General features: G+C 41.5%; 1 protein-coding gene and 1 long non-coding RNA gene across 21 annotated transcripts in view; one reads left to right on the top strand and one right to left on the bottom strand.

Annotated features, from left to right (window-relative positions):
• CPEB3 (cytoplasmic polyadenylation element binding protein 3) overlaps positions 1-24,185 on the top strand; it is a 244,542-nt gene that overhangs the window by 26,068 nt on the left and 194,289 nt on the right. For 4 of the 20 annotated variants that reach the window (XM_047424814.1, XM_047424812.1, XM_047424809.1 and 1 more), the window contains exon 2: positions 21,771-21,997. The exons of 14 other annotated variants lie outside the window; for them this stretch is intronic. The gene's annotated coding sequence lies outside the window, so the exon portion shown is untranslated. Of the gene's footprint in view, positions 1-21,770; positions 21,998-23,880; positions 24,075-24,185 lie in introns of those variants that run through there. 2 more of the 20 variants (NM_001178137.2, XM_024447894.2) reach the window with 2 other exon arrangements.
• LOC124902483 (uncharacterized) lies at positions 21,140-23,977 on the bottom strand. Its single transcript, XR_007062247.1, has 2 exons — positions 23,891-23,977; positions 21,140-21,929 (listed from the first exon to the last, which is right to left on the bottom strand). It is a non-coding gene; the product is annotated as an uncharacterized LOC124902483 (long non-coding RNA).

Here is a 24,185-nt window from a genome sequence, read left to right as displayed (position 1 = left end):
TTTTTTGAGGCGGAGTCTCGCTGTGTTGCCCAGGCTGGAGTGCAGTGTCAGGATCGGCTCACTGCAACCTCCGCCTCCTGGGTTCAAGTGATTCTCCTGCCTCAGCCTCCCAAGAAGCTGGGACCACAGGCGCACACCATCACACCTAATTTTTGTATTTCTAGTGGAGATGGAGTTTCACCATGTTGGCCAGGCTGGTCTCAAACTCCTGACCTCAGGTGATCCGCCCACCTTGGCCTCCCAAAGTGCTAGGATTACAGGATTGAGCCACATGCCCGACCTTAAATTTTTTTTATAGACAAGAGTCTATGTTGTGCAACCTGGTCTCAGTGATCGTCGTCCTGCCTCGGCCTCCCATTGTGTTGGGATTACAGGTATGAAACATTGTGCCCGGCCATCCAGCTGTGTTTTTATATTCCTTCAGTCAAATGATTTTTTTTTTTTTTTTTTGAGACGGAGTCTCGCTCTGTCACCCAGGCTGGAGTGCAGTGGCGTGATCTCGGCTCACTGCAACCTCTGCCTCCCGGGTTCAAGCAATTCTTGTGCCTCAGCCTTCTGAGTAGCTGAGATTACAGGCTTGCGCCACCATGCCAGGCTAAGCCTGACTTTTGATTGAGAAAAAACATGATTACCAAAGGAAGAAACACCTGAAGGCAGAGGCCTGATTGTATGCAAAGAAAATGTAGACACTGATGTTATTCCTAGTTATGCCTGGGTGTGGCAGTTGGTGAGGGATAACAGTTAAGCCTTGGAATAAAAATAGACCTGAGCTTATTCACCTACTAGTTATGTCACCTTGGGTAAATTATTGATCATTTCTTTTCTTTTTTTTTTTTTTGAGATGGAGTCTCACTCTGTCCCCCAGGCTGGAGTGCAGTGGCATGATCTCAGCTTACTGCAACCTCCACCTCCCAGGTTCAAGTGATTCTCCCACCTCAGCCTCCCAAGTAGTTGGGATTGCAGGCATGCACCACCATGCCCAGCTAATTTTTATATTTTTGTAGAGACAGGGTTTTACCATGTTGTCCAGGCTGGTCTTGAACTCCTGACCTCAGGTGATCTGCCTGCCTCGGCATCCCAAAGTGCTGGGATTATAGGCGTGAGTCACTGCAACCAGCCATTATTGATTATTTCTAAGTTTCCTTATCTGAAAAATGAGAAGAATGATAGCTTCCATCTTTTAGGGTTATTATGAGGATTAACTGATAAGACATATAAAATTCTTATCTAGATGCCTACATAGACTAAATGATCAGGGAATGCTAGTTAGTATAAACATCATCACCAGATGATGAGGAAATTCTCTCAATACACAAATTTTTAAAACTAATTTTAAAATCTGGCTAGGTGCAGTGGCTCATGCATGTAATTCTTGTGCTTTGGGAGACCAACAGGGAGGATCCCTTAAGACCAGGAGTTTGAGACCAGCCTGGGCAACATAACAAGACCCCATCTCTACAAAATATTTTTTTAAAAATTGACATCCTGTGGCTGTGTAAGAATATGTCCCACTGTATATTTTGCTTCCATAAGCAGGAAACAGGATATAGGAAGAGGTAGGACAAGAAATACCTGCATAGCAAGATTATTGTTTTTCTAGAAGCATGGGCTTAACACAACTAATTTGACTCCTGATATTAAGTGGGAAGGAGAGAAGAAAATCTACACTTAAGTATAGATTCTAGACCATCCCATCCACTGGACGATCTCATCCACATGTCAGTATTAGCTTTGGCTTTCATACATTGACCTTTACTGCTTTACGGTTTATTAAAAATGCTTTATTGGGCTGGGCACAGTGGCTCACGAGGCCCGTAATCCCAACACTTTGGGAGGCCAAGTTGGGCGGATCACTTGAGGCCAGGAGTTCGAGACTGGCCTGGCCAACATGGCGAAACCCCATCTCTACTAAAAATACAAAAATTTGCCAGGTGTGGTGGTGCATGCCTGTAATCCCAGCTACTCCTGGGGCTGAGGCGTGAGAATTGCTTGAACCTGGGAGGCGGAGGTTGCAGTGAGCCGAGATCCAGCCATTGCATTCTAGCCTGGGCTGTGGAGTGAGAGACTGTCTCCAACAACAACAAAAAAATGCTTTCGGCCGAGTGCTATGGCTCACGCCTACAGTCCCAGCACTTTGAGAGGCTGAGGCGGGAGGACTGCTTGAGCCCAGGAATTTGAGACCAGCCTGGGCAACCTAGTGAGACCTCGTCTCTACAAACAAAAAAGAGGCAGGAGGATTTTTTTTCTTGAGCCTTGGAGTCAAGACTGCAGTGAGCCACAATCACGCTGCTGTGCTCCCCGCTGGGATACAGGAGTAAGAAGACACTGTCTCAAAAAAAAGATGCTTTAATGCACACTTTTATGATTCTAATTATTTAGGCAGCTGTTAATATTATCTCCATTTTATTCCAGAGGAAACAAAGACTGAGAAATTGAGAACATGGGGTTGTTTATTTATTTATTTATTTTTTAAAAATTTAAAAAAGAGACAAGATCTCTGTATGTTGCCCAGGCTGGTCTTGAACTCCTGGGCTCAAGCAATCCTCCCCCCTCAGCCTCCCAAAGTGCTGGGATTATAGGCGTGAGCTACCTTGCCTTGCCAAAGACATGGGTTTTAGAGCTAGATTGCCTGGGTTGGAATCCTGGCTTCTCTACTTGCCAACATTATAACCCAGGACAAGTTACTTTAGCCTCAGAGTCCTCATCTGTGAAATGGGGATAATGAAGGTACTTAACTCTTAGAGTTGTACAAAATTATTCTTCATGTAAATAAAGTACATATCATTGCAAGTAATATGAGTTCAATAAATATTTGTTGTTATTATCACCTAGGGACAGGCAGCTAGTAAGTGGTAGTGCTAGTATCTGCATTTAGATAATTAGATTTTATATCCCATGTTCTTTTTACACATCATCTCCATAATATAATGTTGATACCCTGTTACTGTGATGATATCGTGATCTGTTAGCAGCATTAGGGCAGGTGGTCTAATTTCTTTTTCAAAAGTGGTAGATTCATCTAAAGTATCTCTCTTAGGACATTTGGTGCATATATCTATTTCTCAGCTTCCTCAAGAAGAGAACAGATATGACTTCAGATTACAGCTATGCCAAAAACCTATAGATATTGCTTCAGTTGGTTAGAGCAAGGGGCTGAGGATACCAGTCTGCAACATGACAAGACAGAAATAACACATATTAAATTGAACCATTGGGAGACTTGTAGTATAGTTGAAAAGGCTTGCTTACTAATGAATTGGAAGACTTGAATTCTAATCTTGGACTCACCACTTATTAGTTGTGTCTTGTAACATATCTGAGCCTGGATTTTCACATCTTTAAGGTGGGGATCCCAACAGTCATCCTAAGTGCTGTTGCCTGCTCACATAGTCCCTTTGTAGAAATTCAGAAAAAAGAGGCTAGGTGTGGTGGCTCATGCCTGTAATCCCACCACTTTAGGAGGCCGAGGTGGGTGGATCACCTGAGGTCAGGAGTTCGAGACCAGCCTGACCAACATGGTGAAACCTTGCCTCTACTAAAAATACAAAAAATTTGCCAGACATTGTGGTGGGCGCCTGTAATCCCAGCTACTTGGGAGGCTGAGGCAGAAGAATTCCTTGAACCCAGGAGGTAGAGGTTGCAGTGAGCTGAGATCACGCCATTGCACTCCAGCCTGGGCACAAAGTGAGACTGTGTCTCAAAAAAACAAAACAAAACAAAACAAAACAGAAAAAGGGACCCCTTCCTTTGGACAGATGCAGCTTTACAGTAAGGTTTATAAGCTTGGTGAGAAGAGCATGGTCTAAATTTCAGTCTTCACTAGCCTTCTTGGCTAGCCTTCTGGCACACTGAACAGTCTGCAGAAGTGAATGAATGTGAGGATCCTGTCTATACTGTCTTTCACTGCACAGGGCTGTTAACATCAAGTGAGATAATAAAGGTGAAGGAGTTAGATAAAGTCTAATGCCTTTGTGAATGTAAGACACTGATATTACACAAATACTACTTGGTTTCAAATACTAGAATCCAAGGGCTACCTGTGTAGACATATTGACTATTGCCCTTTTTTTTTTCCCCTGATGATCCCTGTGACTCATCAGCTTGTACAGAACCTACTAGCTACTGGCTGTTAAGGCAGAGGTTGTAGCAAACAAAGGTTTTTTTCATTACTTCAGGCCTGGACCAGCCTTGCTCACTGGATCTCTGAAGACTAAAATTAGTACTTTCGATGAATAATCATCTTAAAAACAGTCAATTGGCCAGGCGCAGTGGCTCACGCCTGTAATCCCAGCACTTTGGGAGGCCGAGGCAGGTGGATCACCTGAGGTCAGGAGTTCGAGACCAGCCTGGCCAACATGGCGAAACCCCGTCTCTACTAAAAATACAAAAATTAGCTGGGTATGGTGGTGTGCGCCTGTAATCCCAGCTACTCGGGAGGCTGAAGCAGGATAATTGCTTGAGCCCAGGAGGTGGAATAGGTGGAATGAGCTGAGATGGTGCACTATTGCACTCCAGCTTGGGCAACAGAGCAGGACTCAGCCTCAAAAAGAAGAAGAATAAAACAAACAGTCAAAAAATTATCTTGAAGACAAATGATTTTTTTTTTTTTTTTTTGAGAAGGAGTTTTGCTCTTGTTGCCCAGGCTGGAGTGCAGTGGTGTGGTCCCGGCTCACTGAAACCTCTGCTTCCTGGGTTCAAGTGATTCTCCTGTCTCAGCCTCCCGAGTAGCTGGGATTACAGGCGCATGCCACCACACCTGGCTAATTTTTGTATTTTTAGTAGAGATGGGGTTTCATCATATTGGTCAGGCTGTTCTCAAGCTCCTGACCTCAGGTGATCTGCCCGCCTCTGCCTCCCAAAGTGCTGGGATTACAGGCATGAGCCACCACGCCCAGCCAGAAGACATGATTTTAGGATACCCTGCAGTAAGACTGGGTCTTGCCCATCAATGATATTCAGAATTATTTGGTTAGAGCTTATCTCTGGTTTTCAGGGAAAGGTCATTACATAAAAGCTTTGTGTCAGTGGGAGAAAGAAAAGTTGCTGAACCACAATTTGCCCTCTTAACAACTGTGAAGTCCAAGCTATCTCCTGGTCTTCATGGATCAAGTAGGACAAAAGGACTTGCTTGTGTGAGGAGCCAAAAGACAGCTGTAGAGTCAAGCAGAACTGAAATTAGGTCCTAGTTCTGCCACGAGTTTTGTGACAGTGTGCAGGTAAGTCACCTAAGTTTATGTTTTGTCATCTGCAACTAGGGACAAGAACAGTATTTACCTCATAGATTTATTGTATGGGTTAAATGAATTAATGTGTGGAAGTACCTAGCATTGTATCAAGCACACAGTATTTGCCACATAAACGTTAGCTGCAATTGTTACTAAGCTCTATGCAAGATATTATACTGGCTCTGAGAAAGAAAAAAAGATAAGTTGCAGTGCCTGGCCTCAAGAAGCTTAGAGTTCTAGTTTGGTAATTAACATAATTATATGCCAGAAGAGGTAAACAGAAATGCAAATGCAAAGCAATAAAAATGTGGTACAGATAGATGATTTTTTTTTTTTTTTGAGATGGAATTTTGCTCTTGTTTCCCAGGCTGGAGTGCAGTGGCACGATCTCGGCTCACTGCAACTTCCGCCTCCCGGGTTCAAGAGATTCTCCTGCCTCAGCCTCCCTAGTAGCTGGGATTATAGGCATGTGCCACCACGCCCGGCTAATTTTGTATTTTTAGTAGAGACGGGATTTCTCCATGTTGGTCAGGCTTATCTCGAACTCCTGACCTCAGGTGATCTGCCCACCTCGGCTTCCCAAAGTGCTGGGATTACAGGCATGAGCCATCGCACCCGGCCATAGATGATATTGTTAGGAGGTAGGGTTTGAGCAGGGCTCTAAAGAAAGGACAGAATGGCTGGGTGTGGCGGCTCATACCTGTAATCCCAGTACTTTGGGAGGCTGAGGTGGGTGGATCACCTGAGGTCAGGAGTTTGAGACCAGCCTGGCCAACATGGTGAAACCCCATCTCTACTAAAAATACAAAAATTAGCCAGGCATGATGGCGTGTACCTGTAATCCCTGCTACTCAGGAGTCTGAGGCAGGAGAATTGCTTGAACCCGGGAGGTGGAGATTGCAGTGAGCTGAGATTGCACCACTGCATTCCAGCCTGGGCAACGGAGTGAGACTGTCTCAAAGAAAAAAAAGAAAGAAAGAAAGGGCCAGGCGTGGTGGCTCGTGCCTGTAATCCCAGCACTTTGGGAGGCTGAGGCAGGCGAATCATGAGGTCAAGAGATGGAGACCATCCTGGCTAATATGGTGAAAACCCCATCTCTACTAAAAATACAAAAAAATTACTCAGCGTGGTGGTGGGTGCCTGTAGTTCCAGCTACTCAGGAAGCTGAGTCAAGAGACTCTGTTTAAAAAAGAAAAAATTTATATAAAAATATCTGATCTAGTGAACATTTTTTGACCTAAGATGAACACAAATACATGAAATATATATATATATATATATATATATATATATATATATATATATATATATATATTCAAAAAATATAATTGAAGTCTGGAAACTGAACATAGATGAAGGCTACTCATCTTTTTCTCCTATTCCTATGGAATATGCACACATGTATACTTGTGTCATAATCTGAAAAGGAATCTCCAGCTAATAAACATCAGCTATAAGTATTTAATTTATCTGCACTATTTCATTATCATATGATGGTATGATGAAGAAGAATGACAAAGTATTAAATATATTAGGATGTTGGCCAGGCACGGTGGCTCACGCCTATAATCTCAGCACTTTGGGAGGCTGAGGAGGGTGGATCACCTGAGGTCAGGAGTTCAAGACCAGCCTGGCCAACATGTCAAAATCCTGTCTCTACTAAAAATACAAAAATTAGCCAGGTGTGGTGGCGGGTGCCTTTAATCCCAGCTACTCAGGAGGCTGAGGCAGGATAATTGCATGAACCCGGGAGGTGGAGGTTGCAGTGAGCCGAGATGGTACACCATTGCACTCCAGCCTGGGTGACAGAGCGAGACTTGGTTTCAGAAAAAAAAAAAGGAAAGAAAAAAATACATATATTAGGATGTTAAAAGGGACTTAATATTATTTGGCATATTGAAAGAGTTGAGAGGCCGGGCACGATAACTCACGCTTGTAATCCCAGCACTTTGGTAGGCTGAGGTTGGCGAATCATCTGAGGTCAGGAGTGTGAGACCAGCCTGGCCAACATGGCGAAACCCCATCTCTATCAAAAATACAAAAATTAGCTGGGCATGGTGGTGGGCGCCTGTGATCCCAGCTACTCAGGGGGCTGAGGCAGGAGAATCGCTTGAACCTAGGAGGCAGAGGTTGCAGTGAGCTGAGATTGTGCCACTGCACTCCATCCTGGGTGACAAGAGTGAAACTCCATCTCAAAAAAAAAAAAAAAAAAGAGTTGAGGTCCTTTTCTACATTATTACATTATCAGGAACCGGATTCTGTTTTTTTATACTATTTATACATTGTTTTTATGTAGAAGCTAATTTCTAGTGGAAGTATACACTGCTGCAAGCTTTCTAAAGCAATTTGTTGGCAAGGTGGTTCACCCCTGTAATCCTAGCACTTGGGAGGCCAAGGCAGGAGGATTGCCTGAGCCCAGGAGTTTGAAACCAGCCTGGGCAACATGGCAAAACTCTATCTATACTAAAAATACAAAAAATTAGCTGGGTGTGGTGGCCCAAGCCTGTAATCCCAGCTACTTGGGGGACTGAGGCAGGAGGATCACTTGAGCCTGCGAGGTTGAGGCTGCAGTGAGCTCTGATGGTACCACTGCACTCCAACCTGGGAGACAGAGGCCCTGCCTTAAAAAAAAAATAAAATAAATAATTTGTTAATATGTATCAAAATCAATGTTATGCCTTCCAATTGAGCAATTTCTTCTTTAGAAATAAGGCTCAAGGAAACAGTCAGTTTGGAAAATAGTGAAAACTTGGAAACAAATCAAATATCCTCCAACAGGAGAAAGGTAAATTATACTGAATTTCAATATGGAATGTCTTCATAAACATTAAACTTTGTATTATTAAGCATAGGGTTTTGGAACACATTCTATGGCAATAGAATCCATAGAACTTCTCTTTGTCTAATGTTAAAGAAGTGCTTTACATTTCAACAAATTGGGATAAAAGGTATCTGTTCTTTGATTTGATAAACAAACTTTTATCCAGTATCTCTATGTTTTAGGCCCAGTACCTGGGTTACAAAGATGAATATAGTCCCAAACCTGGAGGTCTTCTAGGAAAGGCAGATGTGTAAACAAATAATTACACTGAAATATGAAGAATAAATACTGTAATAGAGATATATGTGTCTTACAAAGTTGTATAAAGGAAGGAATCAGCAATTCTGCTTACATGGTCAAGGAAAGCTTCAAATAATGGACATTTGAGTTAGGTTGGCATGGCTGGGAAGAGTACGTGTAGAAGAGTTAAGTTTGGGCTGGGCACAGTGGCTCATGCCTGTAATCCCAGTACTTTGAGAGGCTGAGGCGGGCGGATCACGAGGTCAAGAGATCGAGACCATCCTGGCCAACATGGTGAAACCCCATCTACTAAAAATACAAAAATTAGCTGGGTGTGGTGGCACGTGCCTGTAGTCCCAGCTACTCAGGAGGCTGAGGCAGGAGAATTGCTTGAACCCAGGAGGCGGAGGTTGCAGTGAGCCAAGATGCGCCACCGCACTCTAGCTGGGCAACAGAGTGAGACTCTGTTTCAAAAAAAAAAAAAAAGAAAAAAGGTTTGTATTTTATCCTCATGGCAAGGGAAAAGTTATTGGAGAGTTTTAGGAAGGGGCATAACATGGTAAAACTATGTTCGAATGATTACTCAGGATTTAGTATGGAGGCCACATTTGGAAGAATACTAGATGAGAGACATTAGGAGATCACTGCTGTAGTTCAGGTACAGTATTATACTGGTTGTGAATGGAGACGATAGGATGTCAGTCAGAAATTTAGGAGGCAGGATTAATAAGTTTTATCAACCAGTTGGACTTGTCTCTCAGGGAAAAGGGGAAGAATCATGTCCAGGTTCCTAACTTGTGTGACTACACTGATGGTGGTGCCATTAAATAGGATAAGTTAACCAAATATAAATGCACAAGCAAATTTATGGGAGAAGAGGTGCTAATAGGATCTTCTGATAGAGAAATAGTTAAAAGCAGTCTGTAGCTTAAAAACATTTCATCCGGAGACCTAAACAGTGGTGAACTTTATGAATATAACATTGATTAGGGAGAGTATGCAGAATTAGGAGAACCCTGGGGGAGACTGTATTTAGGGGCAGAAGATTGAGAAGAAACATTAAGAGATAAGTAAAGATACAGGAGAGCAGTATCTTAAATGAAAATGGAATAGTGTTGTATTAGTTTGCTACTGTTGTGTAACAAATCATCACAAGCTTAATGGCTTAAAACAACATTTATTAACTAACAGTTCCATAGGTCAGAAGTGTGGTGCACCACGGTTAGGTTCTTTGTTCAGGGTGTTAATAGACTGAAATCAAGATGGTGGCCCTGCGGAGTTCTCATCTAGAAGCTCTTGGGAGAAATCCATCTTCAAGTGCCTTCTTGTTGGAAGAATTGCAGTTATAGGATGTGGGTTCTTTTTTAGCTTCTAGCCTGGAATCTTGGGAAGGCATCTTAAATTCTTATCAGAAGTGTTTTATGAAGAATGCACAAAGAAAATAGGACTTGAAAAGTGTTAGTTGGTCATTGGTGACTTTGGTAATGTCAGTACCAAGAGCAATTTTTGTAGAATGGTAGGGGCAGAAGCCAGACTGCAGTAAGTTGGGGAGTTAACTGGAAGTAAGGAAGTTAACTAAGATCTAGAGTTTCTTTCAAATAGCCTGCCAGGAATGGGAATGAGAGAGCTGAGAATAATTAAATTAATGAGCTAGGTCTCAAGGAAACTAGAAGGAATGGGTTCTAGACCACAGAAGGAGGGATTAATTGTGGTCTTGTAGGGAGACTCAGCTTCCTCTGAGAAAGGAGGAAAGGGAATATGAAAGGGAATACAGGTAAGTTTGTAAGGGAGGGCTTGTTGGTGGGCAGTAGGGAAATTGGAGACATTACTACCTAATAGCCTCAGTATTCTCTTAGGAGTTACAGACAAGAGAACTGGGTGCAGCAGCTCATGCCTGTAATCCCAACACTTTGCGAGGCCAAGGCGGGAGAATAACTGGAGGCCCGGCATTTGAAACTAGCCTGGGTGATGTGGCAGCACTCCATCGCCAGAAAAAAAAATAAAAATAAAAATAAAAAATAAAAAAATAAGGAAAAGGGAAAAGGAAAGAAAAATTAGCTGGGTGTGGTGGTATATGCCGGTAGTCCTAGGTACTTGGGAGACTGAGGTGGGAGGATCTCTTGAGCCAAGGAGATCAAGGCTACAGTGAGAGGTATGATCATGCCACTGAACTCTGGCTTGGGTGACTGAGCGAGCAAGACTCTGTCTGTATAAAAAGAAAAATGTTAGAGACAAGGTCTATAAAAAAGGGAGGTAAAATTGGAATTGCTACTTTGTGGCCAGGAGGCCCTTCATAAAATTATGGAATGAATGAAACGAATTAACCCAAGACTAACAAACAGAGAGTGAGAAACATAAAAAAACCCAAGGTGCTCTCCAGATTGTCCACTAAGCTACATCTAGCTCACCTGGCTACCTTTTTGCTCCCTTTTCTCTTATTCTGTTCTCAAACTTAGTCATGTCTAGAATTACTTAACAGATCATCACTCAGAAGATGTGGACTTCCTGCATGTAAATTGCCTTAGCTTTTAACATTTTTAAAAGCTTTCTAGGTTACCTAGGGAATATTGAATAATTGACCAAAATTATTATTTCTTTTCTTAGACTGTGAGCTCTTTGAAGTCAAGGAACTTTGCATTTTTTTTTTTTTAAAGGCAGGGTCTCACTCTGTTGCCCAGGCTGAGGTGCATTGACACAATCATGGCTCACTGCAGCCTCAACTTCCTGGGATCAAGCAGTCCTCCCACCTCAGCCTCCTGAGTACCTGGGACCACAGGTGCACATCACCATGCTCAGCTAATTTTTAAATATTTTGTAGAGATAAGGTCTCACTATATTGCCTAAGGTGGTCTCAAACTCTTGGGCTCAAGTGATTCTCCTAGTTCAGCCTCCCAAAGTTCTGGGATTACAGGCATGAGCTACCATGCCTGGCCACAGAATTTTGAGTCTTTACAAACTCAAATCTTTACATTTGGTGCCTCTAGTACAGCCTGGCACATAGGGAACCCCTAGTTTATTTCTTTAGCTTAAATGACACAGACCTAAGGCTCCCCCTCCTATTTGGCCAGATCATACTATTTTTTTCTCTTTACCTTTACAAATATATTGTGTGTTTTGTAAACTTTAATAAATTTTTTTGAGGCAGAGTCTCACTGTCACCCAGGCTGTAGTGCAGTGGCACAATCACAGCTCACTGCAGCCTCAAACTCCCTGGGCTTTGGTGATGATTCCACCTCAGCCTCTCAAGTAGCTGGGACTATAGGCACATGCCACCATGCCTGGCTAATTTTTCTATTTGTATTTTTGTAAACTTTATGGAAGTACTGTATAACATGTACAGAAAATTACACAAAAAATAAATGTTTAGTTTTCTGAATTTTCTTTTCTTTCTTTTCTTTTTTTTTTTTTTTTTTTTTGTTTTGAGACAGAGTCTTGCTCTGTTGTCAGGCTGGAGTGCGGTGGTGCGATCTCGGCTCACTGCAACCTCCACCTCTCGGGTTCAAGTGATTCTCCTGCCTCAGCCTCCCGAGTAGCTGGGACAACAGGCGTGTGCCACCACACCTGGCTAATTTTTGTATATTTAGTAGAGATGGCATTTCACCATGTTGGCCAGGATGGTCTTAATCTCTTGACCTTGTGATCCGCCTGCCTCGGCCTCCCAAAGTGCTGGGATTACAGGCGTGAGCTACCGTGCCCAGCCTAGTTTTCTGAATTTTCAAAGTGAACACCCAGTTCAACAAACAGAATAAGTATGTCACCAGCATCACTGAAGTCCCCTTTTATGTTCCCTAGCAATCATTATTTCCCTGTAAAGGCAATTACTATCTTGACTTCTAATACTGTAAATTAGTTTTATTATAACTTTAAGTTGGAGGTTGCAGTGAGCTGTCATCACACCACTTCACTCCAGCCTAGGCAACAGAGCGAGACCCTGTCTCAAAAAAAAAAGGAACTTTAAGTGGAATCATATAGCATATAGTATATACTTTTTTGCATCAGACATTTCACTTAGCATTGCATTCATGCAATTTATGTATGCTGTTTTATACAGTTGGAGTCAGGCCAGGCACAGTGGCTCACACATGTAATCTCAGCACTTTGGGAGGCCGAGGTGGGAGGATCACTTGAACTCAGGAATTTGAGATGAGCCTGGGCAACACGGCAAAACCCTCATCTCTACAAAAACATACAAAAATTAGCCAGGCATGGTGGCAGGCACCTGTAGTCCCAGCTACAAAAAATAAAAATTAAAAAAAAAAAGTTGGCATCTATTCATTATCTTTGCCTTATCATATTCCATTATATGAGTCCCTCACAAATTTATTTATCCATTCTATTACAGATGGATATTTGGGTTGTTTTCAGGTTTGGCTATTATGAATAATGCTGCTTCGAACATATCTTGGTGAACATGTCTGCATTTCTATTGGGTGTATAGCTAGAGGCTAAATTGCTGGGTCATAAGGTTTGTGAATGTTTAGCTTTAATAGACACTGCTAAATGATTTTGCATTGTGGTTGTATAGTTATACCGAACTATACTTTCACCAGCATTGTTTGAAAAATGGGTTGCTTAAAAAAAGGAGGGGTTGCTCCCATCCTTGCTAATGCTTGGTATTGTCTGCCTTTTCCAGTTCTAGCCATTCTGATTTTATTCTGCCTTTTTTTGTTTCTGTTGATTAGTGAGGTAGAGCACCTTTTCATATGCTTTTTGGTCATTTGAATATCTTTCGGTGAAATCTTTTGCCTATTCTTGGGGGGATATTTACTCTTATTGATTTGTAGGAGTCCTTTATATATTCTGGTTACAAGTCTTTTGTTGAAAAAAAATATATATAGAGAGAGAGAGCATATATTCTCCCATTCTGTGAGTTTTTATTCGAATACTGTCTTACTTATGGTTACTGGTTTTGTGACTTCTTTTTTTTTTTTTTCTTTTTGAGATGGAGTCTTGCTGTGACACCCAGGCTGGAGTGCAGTGGCGTGATCTCGGCTCACTGCAACCTCTCCCTCCTGGGTTCAAACTATTCTCATGCCTCAGTCTCCCGAGTAGCTGGGATTACAGGCACCCATCACCACATCCGACCTTTTTTTCTTTCTGTTGGTGTCCCCTTCCAGGATGGGACCTGTTTAATAAATTGTTGATTCTCCCAGGTTTTCTTTTAAGGGCTTTTTTGTTTATATTTTACAATTAGGCCTACAATCCATCTGGAATTGATTTTTGAATATAGTGTTGTAAGTATAAAGGTCTCTTTTTTGCCATATGGATATTCAGTTGACTCGAATACCCTTTATTGAAAAGACCATCTTTTCATTACTGCTTCGTCTTTTCATTACTGTTACTGTTTTTGGAATTCTGGGGATCATACATAGATCCACCTATTTCTAGACTTTTTAATTTTGTTCTGTTTATTTGCTTATCCTGTTCCAATAACTTTAAATCTCAGTATTTAAAGTCAGTTAGCAAAGAAGAGAGAGAGAGAGAGAGAGAAGAGGAGAGAAGAGAGAAGAGAGAATACAATCCCACATGTTAGAAAACTAAGAAAGGACAGCATGAAGGAAGGAGGAAAAGGGAAGAAGGTACAGTCATGTGTTGCTTACCAACAAAGGGGATACTTTCTGAGAAATGCATCGTTAGGTGATTTTTTTGTGTCAGTTGTCATAAAGTGTACTTACACAAACCTAGATGGTAGAGCCTACTACCCACATAGGCTGTATAGTACAGCCTTTTGCTTCTAGCTTACAAACGTGTACAGCATGTTACCCCACAGAATGTTGTAGGCAGTTGTAACACAATGGTAGGTATTTGTATATCTAAACTTCAGAAGGGTACAGTAAAAATACAGTATAGGCTGGGCATGGTGGCTCATGCCTGTAATCCTAGCACTTTGGGAGGCTGAGGTGGGCGGATTGCCTGAGCTCAGGAGTTCAAGACCAGCCTGGGCAACGAAAGTTTCCCAAGAGATGGGAGTGAAACTCCATCTCTATTAAAGATACAAAAAAAAAAAAAAAAAAAAAAAAATTAACTGTGTGTGTGGTGGCAGGCGCCTGTAGTCCCAGCTACTTGGGATGCTAAGCCATGAGAATTGCTTGAACCTGGGAGGTGGAGGTTGCAGTGAGCCGCAATTATGCCACTGCACTCCAGCCTGGGCAACAGAGTGAGACTCTGTCTCAAAACAAACAAACAAAAAATGGTATAAAGGATACATATATTAAAAAAGGTACACATGTATAGGGCACTTACCATGAATTGAGCTTGCAGGAATGGAAGTTGTTCTAGTGTGAGTCAGTGAGTGAGCAGTAAATGAATGTGAAGGCGTAGGATTTTACTATATACTACTGTAGACTTTATAAACATTGTACACTTAGGCCACACTAAATTTATAAAAAGAACTTTTCTTCAATAATAAATTGACCCCCCTCCAAGAAAATTGACCTTAGCTTATTGCAATATTTTAACTTTTTAAACTTTTAAATTTTTTTTTTAAAAATTGGCCGGGTACAGTGGCTCACGCCTATAAATCCCAGCACTTTGGGAGGCTGAGGGTGGGCGGATCACGAGGTCAGGAGATGGAGACCATCCTGGCTAACACGGTGAAACCCCGTCACTACTAAAAATACAAAAATTAGCCGGGTGTGGTGGAGTGCGCCTGTAGTCCCAGCTACTCGGGAGGCTGAGGCAGGAGAATGGCGTGAACCCAGGAGGCCGAGCTGGCAGTGAGCTCAGATCGCGCCACTGCACTCTAGCCTGGGCGACAGAGCAAGACTCTGTCTCAAAAGAAAAAAAATTGACACTTGTAATAACAGCTTAAAATAAAAATATATTGTATAGCTATATAACATATATATATATATATATGAGATGGAGTCTCACTCTGTTGTCCAGGCTGGAGTGCAGTGGTGTGATCTGGGCTCACTGCAACCTCCGACTCCCAAGTTCAAGCGATTCTCCTGCCTCAGCCTCTGAAGTAGCTGGGACTACAGGTGCCTGCCACCACGCCCAGCTATTTTTTTGTATTTTTAGTAGAGACAGGGTTTCACCATGTTGACCAAGGCTGGTTTCAAACTCCTTACCTCAAGTAATCTTCCTGCTTCGGCCTCCCAAAGTGCTGGGAATACAGGCATGAGCCACCGCTCCTGGCCCAAAAATATTTTTTATACCCTTATTCTATAAACTTTTTTCAACTTTTAAAATTTCTAATTTTTTTTTACTTTTTTATTTTTTATTTTTATTTTTGAGAGTCTCACTCTGTTGCCCAGGCTGGAGTGCAATGGTGTGATCTCAGCTCACTGCAACCTCCACTTCCCAAGTTCAAGTGATTCTCCTGCCTCAACCTCCCGAGTAGTTGCGATTACAGGCATGCACCACCTTTCTACTAAAGAGTACACTGTAAAATAATGATAAAAAGTAAATACATGAACCAACAACAGTAATTTATTATAATTATCAAGTATTTTGTACTGTACATAATTGTATGTGCTATAATTTTTTTTTTTTTTTTTGAGACGGAGTCTCGCTCTGTCACCAGACTGGAGTGCAGTGGCACGATCTTGGCTCACTGCAACCTCTGCCTTCAGGATTCAAGAGATTCTCCGGCCTCAGCCTCCTGAGTAGCTGGGACTACAGGCACGTGCCACCATGCCCTGCTAATTTTTTTGTGTTTTTAGTAGAGATGGGGTTTCACCATGTTGGCCAGGATGGTCTCAATCTCCTGACCTCGTGATCCGCCTGCCTTGGCCTCCCAAAGTGCTAGAATTACAGGCATGAGCCACCATGCCCGGCCTTATGTGCTATAATTTTATAAAACTGGCAGCACAGTGGCTTTGTTTACACCAGTATCACAACAAATACATGAGTGATGCTTTTGCACTATGACATTGACAGCTACAAAGTGAGGAGGTGATTGGAATTTTTCAGCTTCATTATAATCTTTGGGACCATCATTGTGTATGTGGTTTGACTGGAATATTGTTAATGCTATGCATGACTGTATATCCAGAAAGAGTGGTCAGTTATGTCAATGTTGCTGCAAGGTCAAGCAAGATAGACTGACAAACATCCATTGGACTTAGCTCAGGGCGTCTATTATAATCTTGGAGAAACAATTTCTGTGGAAGGGCGGGGTGTGTGTCTGTTACTTCATGATGGTAATCAAATAGTCTGCATACTACTGAACATCATAAAAGCCAAAATGGTTTTCTATTTTATACCACTCCCCTTCCCATCCTTGCAGCTAAGGGAAAATTAATTGCTCTTCTAAATGAATTTAATACTTAACTTGAACCTGGCTGTTTTAAGTAATAGAAAAACTATGCTTTATTCATCCATCCATTTATCCGTATATTTAGCAAGCATGTATAGTGCACCTACCAACTACCCAGGACATATAAGCATTGTGCTAGGGATGTAAGTAGGGAAGGAAAAGAAGGAAGGAAGCTCAAAATGATGTATTTGACCCATGTACAGTTGTCCTTTCTTATCTGTGGGTTCCATATCCACATATTCTTTGATTCAACCAACCACAGATCAAAAATATTTGGAAAAAAAAGTGAATGCTTGCATTTGTACTGAACACGTACAAACTTTTTTTGTCATTATTCCCTAAACAATATAGTATAACAACTATTTACATAACACTTACATTGTATTAGGTATTATAAGTAACCTAGAGATGATTTAAAGTATACAGGAGGATGTGCATAGGTTGTATGCAAATACTATGCCATTTTACATAAGGAACTTACTTGAGCATCCATGGATTTTGATATTTGGTGGGGTAGGGGGTTTGGAACTACGCCCACAAGATACCGAGGAATAACTATGTATCTCAGTGAGTTAATTCTGTGAAGTATTTTTATAGCCTTTAATGGCTACTCCAAAGGGGTTTATGCTGTGAGGCAGAGGTTGCAGTGAGCCAAGATCACACCACTGCACTCCAGCCTAGATGACAGAGCAAGACTCTGTCTCAAAGAAAAACAAAAACAAAAACAAAACAAAGGATGGGGGGCAGTGGTTTAAGGTGAAGTTCTGTGATCTCAAGATAAAATTTCAGAAAGTGCCTCTTTTTTGGCTAGGTGCGTTGGCTCACACCTGTAATCCCAGCCTTTGGGAAGCTGAGGCAGGTGGATCTCTTGAGGTCAAGAGTTCGAGACCAGCCTGGTGAACAAGGTGAAACCCCGTCTCTACTTAAAATATAAAAATTAGCCTGTAATCCCAGAACTTTGGGAGGCCAAGGTGGGTGGATCACCTGAGGTCGGGAGCTCGACACCAGCCTGACCAACACGGAGAAACCCCATCTCTACTAAAAATACAAAATTAGCTGGGCATGGTGGCACATGCCTGTAATCCCAGCTACTCGGGAGGCTGAGGCAGGAGAATCGCTTGACCTGGGGAGGCAAAGGTCATGGTGAGCTGAGATCGCGCCACTGCACTCCAGCCTGGGCAACAAGAGTGAAACTCCATCTCAAAACAAATAATAAAATAAAATAAAATAAAATAATTAGGCTTGGTGGTGCGTGCCTGTAGTCCCAACTACTCAAGATGCTGAGGCAGGAGAATTGCTTGAACCTGGGAGGTGGAGGTTGCAGTTAGCTGAGGTTGTGCCACTGCACTCCAGCTTGGGCGACACAGCAAGACTCTGTCTCAGAAAAAACAATAAAAAAATAAAGAAGGTACCTCTTTTATGGTTAAGTAAAAAAACAACATTTCAGTAGAGAAGGGCTTTGTTCTTGTGGAGGGTTCTCTGATAATTTTTTCTTTTCTTCGTCTGTATTTATACCTTGGTGCTTATGTTCGAGTCATTTTCTTTTTAGATTTGAGGCTCATTTTAGGGGAAAAAAAGCAGAGATTAGTGTGTTTTTCAATACAATACAATCCCATTAAGTATGGGCAGTGTTAATTATGGTTTAACAAGGGTTAGAGCCAAAGTTTATTTTTGTCCATTGTGCATATTAATAGACCTGCACTTGGAGTTAGGTGGATTAACAAATGCCCAGAGAAACCATTTCAAGTCATAACTTTGAAAGGAATAACTTAAAAATTTCTATGTTACTGATTACAAGTTGACATCCTAGGCCGGGCGTGGTGGCTTATGCCTGTAATCCCAGCACTTTGGGAGGCCGAGGCGGGTGGATCATGAGGTAAGGAGATCAAGACACTCCTGGCTGACACGGTGAAACCCCGTCTCTACTAAAAGTACAAAAAATTAGCTGGGCGTGGTGGTGGGTGCCTGAAACCCCAGCTACTTGGGAGGCTGAGGCAGGAGAATCGCTTGGACCCAGGAGGCGGAGGTTGCAGTGAGCCCGAGATTGTGCCACTGCACTCCAGCCTGGGCAACAGAGTGAGACTCTGTCTCAAAAAAAAAAAAAAGTTGACATCCTAATTTCAAATAATTTAAAAAATCTATTTCTTAAAGCTGTAAGGATGTTATGAAGGATTATTTTACTTTGGAGTACTTGAAAATCCATTTCTTAAAGCTATAAGGACGTTATGAAGGGTATTTTTATTTTATTTTATTTTTTTGTTTTTCGTTTTTTTTTTTGTTTTTGAGACGGAGTCTCGCTCTGTCTCCCAGGCTGGAGTGCAGTGGCGCGATCTTGGCTCACTGCAAGCTCCGCCTCCCGGGTTCACGCCATTTTCCTGCCTCAGCCTCCCGAGTAGCCAGGACTACAGGCGCCTGCCACCATGCCCGACTAATTTTTGTATTTTTAGTAGAGACGGGGTTTCACCGTGTTAGCCAGGATGGTCTTGATCTGCTGACCTCGTGATCCGCCTGCCTTGGCCTCCCAAAGTGCTGGGATTACAGGCTTGAGCCACCGCGCCTGGCCTATTTTATTTATTTTTGAGATGGAGTCTTGCTCTGTCTCCCAGGCTGGAGTGCAATGGTGCGGTCTTGGCTCACTGCAACCCCCACCTCCCAGGTTCTAGTGATTCTCCTGCCTCAGCCTCCTGAGTAGATGGGATTACAGGCGCCTGCCACCACATCTGGCTAATTTTTTATAGTTTTAGTAGAGACGAGGTTTCACCGTGTTGGTCAGGCTGGTTTCAAACTCCTGAACTCAGGTGATCCAGCCGCCTCGGCCTCCCAAAATGCTGGGATTACAGGCATGAGCCACCGTGCCCGGCTATTTTATTTTAGTTAGAATACTTGAAAATGTGGCAAAAGTTTGGTAGGTTAGCAAAGTCTTCAGGAATAACATTAACCTTGGGTTGATCCTTGCAAATTTTGGAATCCAAATAGTGACCACAGCACCTTGGCAAAAGTGGAGCTTTCTTTAGGAGGCTAGAGGAAGAGAAAAAATGGGAAATATAAGCTAAGGTCACATTACAGTAGGAATAAGTAAACATTTAGTTGTTTTACGTAGATCTTTTGGTGGATTCATTCAAACTGATTCTTTTCTTGCAGACTTAGGCTAGAATCTTAGGGGGTCAAAAAATAGATTCTTGGCCAGGCACGGTGGCTCATGTCTGTAATCCCATCACTTTGGGAGGCCGAGGTGGGCAAATCACGAGGTCAGGAGTTTGAGACCAGCCTGACCACTGTTGTGAAACCTTGTCTCTACTAAAAATACAAAAATTAGCTGGGCATGGTGGCATGCGCCTGTAATCCCAGCTACTCAAGAGGCTGAGGTAGGAGAATCACTTGAACCTGGGAGGTGGAGGTTGCAGTGAGCCGAGATCACACCACTGCACTCCAGCCTGGGTGACAGAGCGAGACTCAGTCTCAAAAAAAAAAAAAAAAAAAAAAGACTCTTTTCTTAGGTTTTTGTTTGTTTTAAGAAATAACTAGAAACAAAGATTACAGTATGCTGCAAATCAGTGGTTTCTGGTAATACTTCAGTTCTGATTGGTGAAGAAGGGAAATAGAAAATTAAGACAATTTTAAATGATGACATTTTCAGTTACAAGTTCAATCAGCATAGTCATCAACTGACATTTATTGCTAACCCCTTGGGTGAGTAGCACTGAACCAAATCCCACAAGAAATATCTTCTGCCTACGTGAACAAACCGGTTCTTGAACTATTGCTTTCAGAAGCTATAGATAATAGCAGTTGATTTTAATATGTTGTGAGATTCCAGCCTTGGAATCATGAGGTTAAAATAGGAAAAACCATACCAAAAAACAGTTTTTAATAGAAACTTGGCCAGGTGCGGTGGCTCATGCCTGTAATCCCAGTACTTTGGGAGGCAGAGGCGGGCGGATCACGAGGTCAGGAGATCGAGACCATCCTGGCTAACACAGTGAAAACCCTTTTCTACTAAAAATACAAAAAATGAGCCGGGCGTGGTGGCATGCCCCTGTAGTCCCAGCTACTTGGGAGGCTGAGGCAGGAGAATCGCTTGAACCCAGGAGGCAGAGGTTGCAATGAGCTGAGATCGCACCACTGTACTCCAGCCTAGGCAACAGAGAGAGACTCCATCTCAAAAAAAAAGAAAACTGTATCTACTGTTTGTCTTAAAGAAAGAAGTCATTGTCTTATGCAATGTAACACTAAACATGTACAATTGTTATTATTATTAGTTTTTTTTTTTGAGACAGGGTCTTACTCTGTCACCCAGGCTGGAGTGCAGTGGCCTAATCTCAGCTCACTGCAACCTCTACCTCCCAGGTTCAAGCGATTCTCCTGCCTCAGCCTCCCGAGTAGCTGGGATTACAGGCTCCTGCCACCATGCTCAGCTAATTTTTGTATTTTTAGTAGAGATGGGGTTTCACCATGTGGGCCAGGCTGGTCTCGAACTCCTGACCTCAGGTGATCTGCCCTCCTCGGCCTCCCAAAGCGCTGGGATTACAGGCATGAGCCACCCTGCCCGGCAACATATACAATTGTTTTTAAATAATTCACCAAATATTATTTTAGTATAAGAGTTGAATTTTATTTGAGTAATCCTTTGTATGAATAATGCAAGGTGAACTTTTATTTTGACAAGTAAAAATAAGGAGGTGAGTTGGTTCAGAGCTTATCAGGTACAATCTTAAAATAAGTGATTTGTTCCTGCATTGAAAACTAAAATACAAGAAATCTGGTGGATGTCAAAAATTTATGACTAAAATCTATTTTTACCTGACCTCTAAGGTTGATATCACATTTAACATTAAGGTGTTTTTTATTCTAAACTAAAAGTGATTCTTTTATGCCATCTCTGCTGAAAAATTTAAAAAATTATTTAAGTGTTTAAGTATGGTCAGATTTTAAGTATCTAACATTCTCCAGTAGTTCCCCCTCCCTTGCCTATTCCTCTCCACCCCAGTCTCTTTCTAGTAGGATTCCTATTGCTAGCTACCCAGTCATTACCATTCTAACCATTTAAGGTAGCTCTGCTTGGTTTATTTATTCTGAATACTACAATTCAGTTTCCCTTTATCCTGGCTTCCTATGGCAAGTTGACAAACCAGTTTATTTTTTTCCCTTTTATTTCAACAACTCGTGATTTAGATTGGTTAGGAGGATATAATGTAATCAGGACACAACCTTTTCCCCTCAGAATCTGTATTTGTGAGACTTCCTCCTTTCCCGGCTGAACGTGCTGAAGTCAGATCGAGTACCTTGTGAAGGACTTCAGCCCCCACAGTTCCCTGTGTGCGCATGCCCTCTCATCTTACAGTTGTCAAAGTGCTTTTGCCAGAGCGGTCACATAATCAACCTGAAAGAAGAAAATAAATACTGTATACTTTTAAATTTTATCGATTCTTAAAAACTGGACACTCAAAGGTAACTGCTACTAAGATTTTGTTACTTGAAATTGGGTTATTGCATGTAAAAGAATATCTATTGTGTGTGGTGGGGGAGGGGAAGGAGGTATCTATTTCTCACTTTGCTGTAAATAAGCAAAAACAAAAACAAAAACAAAAAACCCAAAAAAACAAAAAACAACCCCAAGAACACAAAACAAACTATACAGGCAGTTGCTGAGAGACGTTGAATACTACCTTTGCAAATTTTATGTTAATCTATTGCTTACCTTTTGTTTGAAAAGGTCTTATTTATTAAAGGTGGGTCTTGACCTTGACAGAGTGAATTTATGCAGAAAGCAAAATTTATATTTTTAAGGAGTGTTGAGAAGAGAAATGGGTGTTCCTGGTATAAAATTTTTAAAATTCAATGAATATGTTAACATTGATTACAGCTACTATAAAATGTTCTGAGTCCAGCTTACTTTTTGGCTTTTTTGCTGAGGTACAGCATTAATTTTTCCATGAAGAGCATGTAGTTTAAACTGAAGGCATTAACAGCAAGCATTGATACAAGCAACCGGAAAAGCAGAGTGATATTAAAATTATAATCAAATGCCTATTTCAGCCATGATGATATGGCTATTATAAAGACAATTCTAGCTCACTGGAAGTGACTCAAATCTCAGATTATAATGGTTTACTGCAGCACCGTTTAAACCAAGTATGAAAATGTCTCTTTCTGTGACCATCTTCTGTGGCAGCAATAGAACTTTGTGCTGTCTAAATCAAAGCTTCATTTGCCTCTTTGTATTGTATTTTGCAATACTGATCAAAGCCATTGTTTTAGACCAAGGGAACTGAGGAACATAAAAGCAATCTTAAATAGATTTTATTGGTAGTAGCCGGCAATCTGTGTTGTATATTATATTGAGTTGGGTTTTTTTCCCTGGGGGGGTTGAAGGGAGGAAAGGCAGGGGAATGAGGAATAGAAGGGAGAGCAAGGTGGCTGCGAAGCATTTCCTTTAGCCCACCACTATTTTGTGTATGAAACTTTGAAATAAAAGATACTAATGAACCATTTTAATGATAGTCTCTAATAAAATAATAGAACTACTTTTAATCCCATTTGTCTGATATATTTTGCATAATAGTTAATATTTTCATTTTCTGATATGTTGATTTTAACAATAATTATTATCATGAGGATGTCTAGAGGCAGAGCTTCTGTGTGTATCTGAATGCCTTTTCACAAGTGTCCTGAGAAAGATTCCTCTCCAAGTATCTGGGTTAATTAAGTAACTGCATTAAATTTATTAATAACTTTGTTGCAATTGTACTGAATCATCATCTAAAAATAATTATATGTTTGGTCATATGCCCCTTTAACATTTCAAAATATTTGTTTTTAGGGTCTCAGCACTGTAATATTTATATATTTAAAGCAATTAACATGTTCTAAGGACAAGCTAACTACATGTATGGCAGTCTCCGGGTTTTGAGTGATTAGTAATTTTCATCCTTGAATAAGAAAACAGGCTGTATGGTAGAGGTGAATATAGCCCTTCTCTGTGAGATGGAAAATACCATACACTCCTTATATGGCTAAATGAAGCAGTGATGGCAATGCACTATAATTACAATGTATGAAAATTTGAGACTTTGTACTCCTCTATTTTTAACACTTTTGCTAGCATATGGTAATTCAGGGTCTTCAAACCATAGTGTTTCGCTGCTAATACTAGTGATAAGAGAATGGATTCTAAATTTGCCAAAGTCTTGTGACCAAGACAGCAGCAGGAGGATTCAAAATTGAAAATCTGACAACCCCAGAATTATCTTGACTGTCTACTTAAATCTCTGAGGGTTTTTTTTAAAGCCCCACCCCCACCCTATCTCACAGGCGCTCGCTCGCTCGCGCGCACTCTCTGACCTTAAATCCAACCAGAAGCATTTCTCCACTCTGCAGAGAAATTCTTAGGCTCCTGTTGAGACCTGAAGCACTGCGATGCCAAGAAATCTCTTGTGCGGCAGAATTGGAGACAAGAAAATTGGGGAATAAGCAGAAAAACCATAATCCTTAGAGTAACAAGAAGCAAGCACTTCCAAACGTTTCAGTAGGTTTTTACTTCTTTAAAAACGTTTTTTTTAAAATTAACTGTCTCCTAACAAAATGGAGTAGCTGCAGCTACTGGGAGGCCAGAGAATGATTGTGCAGCTGAGTCCTT

The sequence above is a fragment of the Homo sapiens genome, chromosome 10, assembly GCF_000001405.40.
Source record: "Homo sapiens chromosome 10, GRCh38.p14 Primary Assembly".
Lineage (NCBI taxonomy): Eukaryota > Metazoa > Chordata > Mammalia > Primates > Hominidae > Homo > Homo sapiens.
This window is presented reverse-complemented; position numbering and strand designations above follow the sequence as displayed.